Source organism: Homo sapiens, chromosome 8 (assembly GCF_000001405.40).
Source record: "Homo sapiens chromosome 8, GRCh38.p14 Primary Assembly".
Lineage (NCBI taxonomy): Eukaryota > Metazoa > Chordata > Mammalia > Primates > Hominidae > Homo > Homo sapiens.
In genome coordinates, this window is record NC_000008.11 from 34,808,875 (window position 1) to 34,822,308 (window position 13,434).

General features: G+C 35.9%; 1 long non-coding RNA gene across 1 annotated transcript in view; it reads left to right on the top strand.

The window, feature by feature from the left end:
- LINC01288 (long intergenic non-protein coding RNA 1288) overlaps positions 1-13,434 on the top strand; it is an 80,878-nt gene that overhangs the window by 24,954 nt on the left and 42,490 nt on the right. Inside the window, exon 3 of the long non-coding RNA NR_125746.1 lies at positions 10,398-10,531. This is a non-coding gene — a long non-coding RNA (long intergenic non-protein coding RNA 1288). The remainder of the gene's footprint in view (positions 1-10,397; positions 10,532-13,434) is intronic.

The window sequence follows — 13,434 nt, forward strand, 5'->3', positions numbered from 1 at the left end:
GGGTCTTTAGCCATAAGGTTATACCTGTACTGTAGCCTTTTCTTTGTTCTCTCTCCATTTTCCCTCCATGTGGCATTTCTGTTACAGCATATAAGTCCCTAGAGGCCTAAGCATCAGTAGTCACAGCTGTCATGAGTGATTTCTATAAAGCATTTCAGGGTGAAAGGTGCTTCATCCACCTACAATGCTATCATTATCAGTCATCTCAGAAAAATCAGAGCTGAGCCTCCTTCCTGTGTGATAGCAGCTGAAAACTGCTGATCTCTTCTTGATATGGATTTCTTGATTGTTAACCTAGAATACAATGTATATTGCTTTGATATAAAATGCATGCAGAAAAGCTTCTTATTTGAAGGATTAAAAGTAAAATCTAGTTTTGTTCTCATTTCCTTCTGTTCTATTTGAACAGCAGGAGTACAGACTTATTTTTACTATCCTTCTGCTTAGAGCAATGGGATTTTGATGTTAAACAAAAGAAGGGATTTATTTTAAATATCTAGGCCTAAACCAAGCAAGGAACAAGGGCTACGAGTCAGTGACATGAAAATTGGACTTCGTTACATTAGAAGCAACTCTAGATATTTTTTCCCTAATTGATTCAGCAACTGCAGAAAAGTTCATTTACTATAATCAATATTACTTTACATTGTGCCTCAATCAAAAACTACTTTTCCATGGTCAATAGCAATTAGACAAATGGATAGAAATGACAGCATTGATGGTGATAGACTTCAAGATTTATACCTGCCATTCTTTTAAAAAATAACGCCAGGGAAGAAACAGCTAATTGCATTATATTGAATTGGAAACCTTTTAGAAACAACCTAGAAAGGGCTTTGAAAATAAGTCAGAAATATCCTAGGTCAGGAAGCTGAGAAAAAAAAGATATATCTAAACCTTTCTTGCTAATGTTTTATTAAGTTAATCAAGATCTAACAAATGATAGGAAAAACAAGGAAACAAAACCAAGAAGGACACAAGTGGGATATAAATTGGTACCTCATAGGAATGTTCTAAGAAATGAAACAATTTCACCTGAAAGGCCTTTATAAATAGTAGTCTTTGGTTTTCATGAAGAACCATGGTTTGTGTCCAACGGAAAGTTAGTAAGGAAAAAAGGCAAACTATAGCAGGAGGCATACTAAACATAAGTGTTAAGAAATGAGTGAGCACCTGTAAAGAACCAAATGACTTGTCTGAATGAACAGAGAAAACTATTTACCTTCTGGTGCAGTGCATGTTAATCCAGCTATGTGCATGCATCCCACATCTCACATGCTGGCTGCTTTGTGATGGGCATTCTCATTTTTCTCTTTGATGCATTTCAAAACCTATAGTGGATGCTTTAGACCAATACTTCCAGGAGAACAAAATTGCAGTAGTACAGAGGGAAAGTTCATTAAGCATTGTTAGAATCAAGATGGGGTGAGTTAAACTAAGGACGGTACAGGCAGTGGAAGCCAGAGAAGCACTTGCAGTGGAGCATGAGGAGTTGCAGCAGAAAGAGATGGAGGCTGGGGTGGAGACTTCACTGCCACAAAAAGAGGTCATTAGTGTGTACGCAAGGTCATTAGGTATGGGTGTACAGTGCACAACCTGCTCAACCATCCACAGGAAGCAGCTACCCAGCAGTAAAGCACACTCAATACAACTCTTTCTTACAATAATGATTTAATATTATATCACAGTTTAATTTGATCAAAACACTATGACAGCAAGACTATGTGACCAAATCTAAATTACATAAACTCAGCAGTTGGTAAAGTGGCAAGGTCCTGGAACAGGGTATGCAGATGAAGTCTAATGGATAGTATATCCCAAATTACTATAGGACACTAAGTCTTGGGGAATATTAATATTAGAAGAGCATAACTGTATCACAACCAATGTAACTTTCTTATTTTTCTGGGGATTTCTCTCTTCAAACTAGTAGTCCTTCCAAAAAAAAAAAAACCTGGTGGCTAGTATGAAATATAACATATTATATATATAATATATAATACTATAATAAAGTATATATTAAAATAAAAAATAGTCTGGTAGTTAATATATCCCTGCAACCCAAATTACTAGAGGACACTAAGCCTTGGGGAATACTAATGTTAAAAGGGCATAATTGTATCACAACCAATTTAACTTTCTTATTTTTCCAGGGATTTCTCTCTTCAAAATAGCAGTCCTTAAAAAAAAAAATACCTGGAAACACCAATCTCGTACTTTTGCTTTCTGATTTGTAGAAGTTTTTGGACTGTGTTACAAATGCCTACAAAATACTCACACTTTCTTCTCTCATCTTGCTGAAGCAACCCTTAACTTTCTTTGACCATACACCTTCTAGCATCTATTCTTACCATCCCTCTCCATCCATTATCCTCATAGTGCTCAGAAAAATCCTTCAAACATATAATGAATTGGATAATACTATTGTCCTATCTGAACCATTTCAATAACTTTCAGTTATACTTCAATATGATTCCAGGATCGTACTAATGGGTCTGAAATGGCCTGCAAGATACACTTCTCCCATAGCCTTAGCTCATATTATTCCCCCTAGTTTATGGTTCTCAATGCAGTAAGCACTTCTTTACCTGAGGAACTTATCCTCTCAATCTCCCTTTCCTGCCTTTCTGTTAAGAGCCGTCCCTAGTATCTGGGAAGCTATGAGACAATCTTTCTTAGCGTATGATTTATGGGTATTTGTCCTGGAAAAGAGCAGAATTAGCCAGAAGCCCTGATAATCTCCCATATTTCTTTTATTTGATGTAAATAGTTATCTATGAGCACTGCACTTTGATTCCTAATAGTGTGGTTCATTGATGAGCTTCTGATGAGATTTTAAGAAGCCCCACGAGGCAAGAAAGAAGGGAGACAGATGGAAAACAAGCAATTATAAGTGTAGTGATGAGTAGGAAAAATGAGAAAAGATCCATTTAGAAATAGTAAGTTTTAGAAAGCTAAGGAAAGAGATTGTTATCTATAGCAGGAGAAACCTAAGGAAGTAATGAATATAAAATTCCAAAATTAAAGTACCAGTGGACCTGAAAAGTCAAAGATGAATGACTAAACATGATATAAATACACAGAGAGAGACAGAGAATGCAAGCAAATGAATGAGAGAGTCCAGTGTGAAATACTCTTAATAATATTTTTACTTATATAAGAATAAGAGAATAAAAAAAGCTAATTTTGAATCTTTGTAAAAAGTTGATTCCTAAAATTTTGACCTGTTATAAAATTAGCATTGATTCCAAGTTCTCATTGGTCCAACACTCAGCCACATGAACATTCTCGTTGTGTCTCAAAGGGACAAAATAGATGTTAGTACTTCAGGCAGGTTTGTTTTCCTTCAATTATGCTATTTACTTTCTGCAATGCAATGACTTTCATCAACGATCTTTTGTTAAAAATAAAATGCTGTATGTACAATGCACACACAACTCGTTGAAAACAGGACAGAGCTTTTACTATTTTAACTTCACTTAGGCATCCAGTACAAGTCTGCTCTTATGTTAAGCTATACTGTGTTCCTACCTTCTCATTTAAGAGTGACATGGAGATCCAATTTGTAAGCATCCAGTTGAATGCAGAGGCATTCATGTCTTGTGAGGACATACACAAGTGTAGTAGGCATGAATGGGTTTGCTGTGCTTGTCACAGTTCATTGGAAGCTGAAGATGAATCAACAACAAAGAGGACATTTTAAATTATCATTTTGATTTCAATTTACTGCTACACCCACAAGTCTCTCTAAGTAATAGAGCAAATAAATAATCACTCTACAACAGGAAAACCACTCATCCTTTACACAAACCAAGACGACTGCAGTAATTACTGGGGACTTGAATAGGGCTAAATTGTCAACTAAAAATGATAACAAGCAGTATGAGTATTACGACTCCAAAATTGAGCTTGTAGAATTTTTAATTTTGCTTTATTTTGTTCTTTTCTTCTACTGAGAATTATGAAACAATATGATCAGAACAGAGTTCTGATATAGTTTCTGAAACAATTCACTTGGAAAAAAAACTAGAATATGAAAAAATTCTCTGAACCAGAATAACCTTTTTTATTCCAGTACTTTCAGTTATATTTTATATAATCAGAATATATTGCCAAACATACACATATGGATTTCTGTGGGCTAATGATTATGTGTGTATGTGTTCACCAAAGTTTTGGGATACCTGCTATATAACAGATCTCAAATATTTCATTTACTCTTTACAAAAAAACAGTTAAATGGGTATTACAATTCCTAATTTAGGGAAGAAGGAAGGGAGATTTAGTTAAAATAACTAGACTCAATGAACACAGCTAAAGGGTGATGAAGGTGATATGCAATTTGTACCCAGGAATTTTGGCCCCTGTTATGGGTTAAATTGTGTTTCCCAAAAATAGATGTTGATGTCCTAATCCCCAGTGCCTGAGAATGTGAGCTTATACAGAAATAGGTTTGTTGACAGGGCACAATGGCTCACGCCTATAATCCCAGCTGCTCGGGAGGCTGAGGCAGGAGAATCACTTGAACCTGGGAGGCAGAGGTTGCGGTGAGCTGAGATCGCGCCATTGCACTGCAGCGTGGGCAACAAGAGGAAGACTGTCTCAAAAAAACAAGAAAAGAAAAGAAAAGAAATAAATTCATTGCAAATGAGTTAGATTAATTAATTAAGATGAGGTCATACTGGAGTAGGGTGACCATTAATCCAATATGACTGGTGTCTTTATAAGAAGACACAAGGGACACAGAGACAAAGGACAAAACAAGTGGGAGATTTAAAAAATGTCCATTGTTTTAATCCACTCAGTCTATGATACTTTGTTATTGCAGCTCTAGAAAATGAATATAACCCCCTGAACCAGTGTTCCTTCTCCTGTGGCACACTGCCTCCACTTCTTAGGAATGAAGTGGGACCAAAGGAAGTTTGAAACCATGGAAATGATTTTACTCTAAAGTTTTCTATAACTTCCAAATGCTTGTCTTCTCTCTTCGTTCTCCCTTTTTATCTTCCACTTTATTGGTCAGACATGGAGATAAGCACTATGCACACATTATTTTATTTTATTCTAGCAATAGCAAAAGGATAATTGCTACAATTATTATCTATATATTATAAATGAAGAAACTGAGACTTAGAGATTCAAACTTGCCAAAGCTTATAAATAAAGTAAGTTATGGAACTGGGATTCAAAGCTGAATCTATCTGATTTCAGAGCCCAAATTCAAGCCATCTTCTCCTACTGCATTATTTCAGTCTACTTCAGGCCATGACAGTATACAATTCACTGTTTATACTTTTGAATAAAAGTAAACAAAAGTAAATGGAAGCAACCTCTAAAAAGAATGGCTAAGAAAATTATTTCCTGTGGAACCTTCTGGAATAGGATGCAGAAAGAACAAATATTTGGTGCCAGCTTACACTGTATTAGGTAAAAGGTTAAATTGAATTTACATATTTTCTTATTTAATTCTCAAAATATAATTTAGGTCTATTGTGCAGGCAAAGCATTGAGGCTCAAAGAGACAAAGAAAATGACTCAGGATTATATAGAGTATACGTGAAGGAGGCAAGATTCAAATCTAGTACTTTATGCCTCATACTTTCCAGTTCCCCCTGAAGTAGATGAGAAGTTTATCACTAAAAGCAACTTAGTGCATTGTTTCTTTCATATCTGCCTCTCATTTTCCATACATATCTCTGTAGTATTTATAATTTTAGGTCTTCCAATGAACTCCTTCACTTTCTGGGTTTTTTTTTTTTTCAGAGATTTCTAAAATACCACCGGTTGCTTTTCACAGATGCCACATTCTGAAGAATTCGGGGGAATGCCCATATGTGTAGGGAAAGATGCCCAGCATACAAGGCAGTGGCTGTGCATGTTCTGCCAGGCCATAGGCATCAGTATTCCTTTCCAAAAAGCAATTGGAGAGGATCAACAGAACACCATTTATATAAGGAAACAAGATACGCTGGTTCCTACATTTCTATTCTCCCATCTATCAAAGACTATAGAAATGGTTGCTTGGTTAAGTTAGGAATGGAGGAAAGGCTGAGAAGTAGGAGTAAAATGATTCCGTACCCTAACATATCACTGACTGCTGTGAACTGAATTGTGTTCCCATAACATTCATATATTAAAGCTCTAACCTCCAATGTGAAGGTACTTGGAGATTAGTCTTTTGACGTGTAATTAGCTTGAGATGAGGTTATAAAAGTGGAGCTCTCATGATGAGATTAGTATCTTTATAAGAAGACATACCAGAGAGCTTATTTTCTCTCTGTTTCTCCTCCATGGGAAGACACAAGAAGGCAGCAGTCTTCAAGCCAATAAGAGGAATCTTGCCTCTGGAACTGTGAGAAATAAATTTCTGCTGTTTATGTCACCATTCTATGGTATTTTGTTATGATAGTCCAAGAAGACTAAGTCACCACCCAGTAGAAATTTTTGTGGTGATGACGAAAATGTTATATATCTGTGATGTTCAATATTATTGTCACTAGCCACATTTGAGTAATGTGGATGAAGAACTGAATTGTTAATTTTATTCAATTGTATTTAATTAAAATTTGTCTAGCTGTATTTGGCTAGTGCTTACCTTATTGGACAGTGCAGCTGTACAACAAAACACAGTCTTCTTGCAATTTGTCCCCCAAAGAAGACTGCAGTATAGCTGCCTGGTTGCATCGTTCCCATACATACTCACATCTGCCCCAACAGCTGGTCTTGCAGTGGCTATGTCCCACTGACAGACCACTGCAGAGCCACCCAGCATGAAAGGTGACCCAACAGCAGCCTCATCTCTCCAGAGAGACAGATGCCTGCCTAGCTGTGCCCATACATGTCAAGCTGGTCCTCAGCAGAAGATAACCATAGCACTGTCATCACAAATTTCTCACAGCCTAGGCCACTGAGGCAATTGCAGACATTGCTGACACAAAAGATGCTGACAGGGATTACAGCTAAAGAGACCGCACCATGCTACTGAGTGTACTCAGAACCAAATTGAATGCACCATAACCAAATAAAACCCCAGAATCCATCTACAGGAAAGCGCCTTCTCATAAAAGCTACTCCATAAAGATCACACCACTGCAATACAGCAGAGCAAAATCCCATTTCTAAATTAAATAAATAAGTAAATTTTTAAAAGGTACTGCATAAAATTGTAAAAAGTTTTTATTCCAACAGATATGCAGCTATCAATGTAAGGACACAAGAAATATGAATAATCAAGGAAACATGACACTCTACAAAGAATACAATAAGTCTCCAGTAAAGACCCCAAAGAAAAGAACACTAACAAAATGCCTGAAAATAAATTTAAAATAATGATCTTAAGGAAACTCATCGAGATACAAGGAAATATACGCAAATAATTTAGTGAAATTAATAAAACAATTCGTGGTCTGAATGAAAATCAACAGTCATAATTATAAAAAAGAAACAGAAACCTTGGGGCTAAATAATGCAGTAAATAAAATGAAAAACACAACTGAGTGCTTCAACAGTAGAATAGATCAAGCAGAAGAAAAAAGTGTTTAAATTTGAAGATAGGTATTTTTGAAATAACCCACTCAGAATATTAAAAATAAAAGTAATAAAAACTAAAGGATGCCTACAGGACTCACGGGACACCATAAAACAAACAGCTATTTGCATTATAGGAGTTATATTGGGAGAAGTGAGAGAGAAAGGCCCGGAAACCTATAATAAAATAATAGTTGAAATCTTCCCAAATATGGGGAGAGATGATCATCCAGATTCAGAAAGCTCAAATGTCCCCAATTATATTTAACCCTAAAAGATCTGCTCGAAGGCATATTATGCTCAAACTATCAAATTCAAAACAGAGAGAATTCTAAAAAATGAAAGAGAATAGCACCAAGTTACATATAAGGGAATCTCTATTAGACTACCTGTAGACTTCTCAGCAGAAACCTTGCAGGCCAGGAGAGAATAAAATAATATATTCAAATTCCAAAAGAATAAAAACTGTCAACTAAGAATACTACCTTCAACAAAGCTATACTTCAGAAATAGAGAAGTAAAGACTTCCCCAGACAAACAAAATCTGAGGAAATGTATGACCGTTAAATCAGCCTTACAAGAATTGCTTAAGGGAGTGCTACATCTGGAAACAAAAGGACGATAATCAATACAATAAAATAGAAAACTTGGCAGTTCATAAATTGAACTCAGAATACCCCAGTGATGTAACAGTGTAATGTAAATCTCTCAATCCTTTAGTATGGAAGTTTACAGCCAAAATAGTCAAAAACAGTAAGCTATCATTAGCAGCTAAGGAACACATAATAGATTTTTAAAAAGTAAATTAAGACAACAAAAATATAAATTGTGGAGAGAAGAGAAAATGTCTAGAGTATTTTTGTAGCACCAAAGTTAAATTGCTCTCAGCTTAAAATAGGTTATTACAACCACAAGACTTTTTATGTTACCCTTATGGTAACCACAAAGACAGAAATTGTAGCAGATATAAAAATAATACAAAGAAAGAAACAAGGCTCAACACCACAGAAAACCACCAAACCACAGAGTAAACAACAAACAGAGGAAGAAAGAAACAAAGGATCTACAAAATATTCAGAAAAAAATTAACAAAAAGGAAGGAGTGAATCCTTAAGTTCTTATCTATCAACAATAACCTTTGATGTAAGTGGATCAAATTCTCAAATAAAAATATATAGTGTAGCTGAATGGATAGAAACAGCAACAAAAACAAACAAACAAAAAAACAGAAAACCCAACTATATGATGCCTGTAAGAGATTCATCTCACCATTAAAGACAAACAAACTGAATGTGAAGAAATGAAAAAAGACAACTGTGTGTCAGATACTGCTAAATACCAGGATATAAAAAAGTAAGGTGTGAGTCTTGCAGTTGAGAGACTGTAGTCTCAAAGAAAAGCCAAGTGAATTATAAAATAATGTAATAATTGTTCTGTATTAGGTTGAATGGTGGTCCCCCAAAGATACGATCACCTGTATCTTGGTGACTTTATTTGGAATAAAGGATGTGACTTTATTTGGAATAAGAATGTTTGCAGATGTACTTAAGTTCAGGATCTTCATGTGAGATCATCTTGGTTTTGGCAGTCCCTAAATCCAATGATGAATATACTTTAAAAAGACAGAATAGGGGACACACAAAGACACAGGGAGGAAGGCCACGTGAGGACAGAGGCAGAGACTGGGGCTATGCTTCCCAATCTAAGGAATGCCAGGAATCCCCGGAAGCAAAAAGGAACAATAAAGTATTCCTGCCTAGAGCCTTCAGAGGGAGCGTGGTCCTACCAACACCGATTTTGGACTTCAGGCCTAAAAAGTGTGAGAATAGAAATGTCCTCTGTCTCCAATTACTAAGTGGTGGTTTGTTGTGGCAGCCCAAGGAACTCCCTACCTGCTGTAACAGAGATAGAAGCAAAATATATGGTGAAATGGAGTAGAACCAAGCTCTCTCTGAGGCAATGTGGTTTTCCAATGGCATAATATTAGACCCAGAACTTTAAAAAAGAGTAAGTATTTTCCAGGTAAAGTTAGTTTAGGGCCAATCTACCATTTCATTCCTGTTGGCAGAGCTTAAGTTGGTCGTGCTGGTGATGTTTGGGAATGATAAGCTCACTATGCAGTTGACCTTTGAACAAAACAGATTTGAACTACAAGGGTCCACTTACACAGATTTTCTTCTACCTCTGCCACTTCTGAAACAGCAAGACCATCCCCTCCCCTTCCTCCTCCTCTTCAGCTGACTCAACCTTCATCATGAGGATGAAGACCTTTATGATGATCCAATTCCAGTTAATAAATAGTAAATATATTTCCTCTAGGTTATGATTTTCTTAATAACATTTTTCTTTCCTCTAGCTTACTTTACTGTAATAATTTAGTATATAATACATATATAAAATATGTGTCAATTGACTGTTTATGTAATCAGTAAGGTTTCCAGTCAACAGTAGACTATTAGCAGTTGTGTTTGGGAAGTCAAAAGTTATATGCAGATTTTTGACAGCACAAGATTGGGGGTTCGGCAACGCTGACCCCCATGTTGTTCAAGGATTAACTATGGCTACCTTAAACTATGTAGAGTTTATTTTAAAGATAGACATGTAAATAAGTAAACAAGGATTTCAGCCATATGCATAGATTTCAAGGGAAGTCAGGCAAAGCAAAGCATCCAAGCTAAGAAGGAGCAGAAACAGTAGCAAAACTAAAGTCTCTGAGCTTGGACAAGTCAATCATTTGAATCCTAAGCAGCTCTAGAAATCTCTGCAGCAAAGCTTCACAATTTTTATTCTAACTCTTTACTATGAACTCAAATCTACCTCTTTATCTGTCCACTTACTTTTCTGTTAACAATTTGATGATTTCCTTCCAGATTTCCTAACACAAACTCCAGGAAAAGAATCATATTGACTCACCTAGTAATCTACCAAGCCCTGTCAGAGGCTATGGACCTTCCTATTCCACTTTTCAACGCCTGTCAAAGATGACAAAGATGACAAACAAGTGGTAAGATTCTAGAAAAGTCTACAGTTGTGAAGGGCCTTAAGTGTCTATCTGAACAATTTTAATTTTATTCTTTGTATTCAGGTAATTACAATATTCTTTCGTATGGGGAAACGTCATGATTAACTTTGCTTTTTAGGAAGACATCTGTACAACTGAAAACTAAAATGCAATGAGACTTGTGGTAAAGGTGTTAGTGAGAAGCTTTTCTAGTGTTCAAATCACACAAGGGCTGAGATAGGACTGGAACCCAGTGTTTTTCTGCCATCTACTCCTAAGTAATTTTATGCAGAAAGCTGTCTAAAATATGAAGTGCATGGATCTCTTGAGATTTTCTGCTTTGATCTTTGCTTTTTTATGCAGCTTCATTTAGCACCAATTTATCAGTGGAAAAGGGGATTTGATGACTTCATGTTCGTGGATGGCGATGTACCATGCTTCCACACCGGAGGGAGGCAAAACCTCAAAACCTTGGCATTTCTATGCATGATTTTAACAGCTTGAGTTATATAAATGCTTTTTGCTGTAGGAAAAAAAAAAAAAAAGCCAGGCATCAACAAAAACACCTTCCACAAAATGACTAGGTAATAAAGATTAAGAATAGAGTAAATCCATTTGACTTCAGGTAAAAGACAACCCCAGATATTTATTATTGCTGTCTTTTTTAATGTTTTCCTTTTCTTTCTCTTTCAATTAAGATACAACTTTGAGTTCTAAGCGTTCCAATCATGTCATTATCAAGACACTTTGGAGAGGGGAGGAGGAAGGGTTGGCAAGATTTCTACATATACAGTGCATGCAGATACAATAGGCACAGAGTAGAAAACAAAGGCTCGTGTCAACCAGCCATTTTCCATCTTACATTTCAAACTCATTTTAAACAAGCAAATACAAACATTCCTGAGCAATGAGAAAAAGCAAAGCAGCGTGTTATTTTTTTGGGGGGGGTTTGTTCTTTTTTTTGGCTCCACTTTTTATCTTTCAGTGAGTTTCTTAATAACGCCTTTGACAAGTAACATGCTTTTTCCATTTGCAATAAAACTCACTAAAGAATAGGCAGCTCTCCCTTCCTTTATCAGCTTCCTTTGTTGCTGCTGCACCAGGAGACTTTTTTTTTTTCCAAGTAAGGCCTCAACCAAGACGGAGATGTTTTATAATGAGTAATTACACCAAGATCATTTCATTAACCCTTCATTGTCCTCAAATCTGATTTAACCTGCTGAAAAAAAAAAGAACATAATTGAAAATATAGGAAATCCATAACAATAAATGACAGAGCTGGAAGAGATATGCTTGCATGGTGTGTGATGGAAAAATGCACCTTCAGGGGCACAGCCTGACCTTTTCAGGAAACCAGCAGTCATAAATGTGTCCTAGAAGCACACTCAGTTTTCAAAGATACCAAAGGAAGAAGAGAACAACATATTACAGTTAAATGCACTTATCCTCCATTTACACTGAGTGTTATGTGCAGTTGGGAAGAGCGTGGGCTCTGTAGTCAGATGGAAAGTCAGGATCTAAATTTCCCATCAGACAAGATACCTAGCCCATGGCATATCTTTCTGAGATAATGGAGATTATGTTGGTTCCTAACTCATGGAAGACTGCAAAGAAGAAATGCAACACTGTATTACATAAAGCTCTTAGTATGAGGTCTGCTATATAATAGATCCCTGAAAAATGTTAGCTGTTCAAGATAAGGTAGACAACAGCATCTTTATACTCTATATTAAGTGACTGCCCTTGCACTAAAAGAATTTGTCATCTAATATAGAGCATAAAGATTCCAGAGATACTACTATTTTCTCTGATGAATTTGGTAAGCTGGTTTTAATTCTAGGTCTGTTTGGAAGTGTTCATGTCCTCAATCACTCTTCAATTTGTTGTAATGTCACACAATTATTCTTGGCCTCTGTTGTCTATCTAAAGCAGGAATATTTTATTACTATTGTCTGTACCACAAGTAAGAGATGACATTGAGCCCATCTAATTTTAGAATTAAATAACCAAGGAAAGATTAAGCAGTGTAGTATATTGAAAATACCTGTTGATAGTAGTAGTCAAATAAACTCGGATCCAGCATCTCATTTGTTTAGCAGTCTTAATGTTGGTGATTTCTCTTTGGGTTACAGTTTCTTCATTTATGAAGTGGGGGTAGTAATATCTACACAATAGTGTTAATGAGAGGATGAAGTATAGAATTTTTTAGAATTTTATTTTGAAATAATATTAGACTTACTAGAGAGTTGTAAAAGTAACACAAAGTTTCTTCATCCAGCTTCTCCTGATGTTAACACCTTCCCTAGCCATACTACAATTATCAAAACCAGGAAACTAGCATTGACATCATTCAAATTTAGAGATTGTTAACTAATGTATGTGTATTATACAAATTTCATCAATTTTCTCATTAATGTCCTTTTTTCTGGTCCAAGATCCAATTCAGCATTTGGTAGTGCATTTAGTTTTCAAGTCTGTTAAGTGATTTCCCGTCTGTTGTAGTTTCTCAGTCTTTCTTTGTCATTCATGACCTTAACACTTTTGACTTGTATAGTACTAACAATTTATTTTTTTAGACTCTCCTTCCATTTGGACTTGGCTGATTTATTCTTATAATTAGATTGAGATTACACATTTTTGTCAAGAATGCAGCCCAGTGTGTAGCATTGTGATGATTGTGTGATGAGCCCTCCTCAGTACAACAAAACAGCGAGAACATGATGTTATGGCTTGTTATTAGTGACATTAATTTTGATCACTTGATGAAGATGGGCCTGCCAGATTTTATCACTGTAAGGTGACCATTTTTTCTTTGTAATGAGTGTCTTATGGTGAGATATTTTGTGACCATACAAGTGTCCCTTTTCTCATACTTCTGTCCACTAATTTTATTATCTATCCATGAT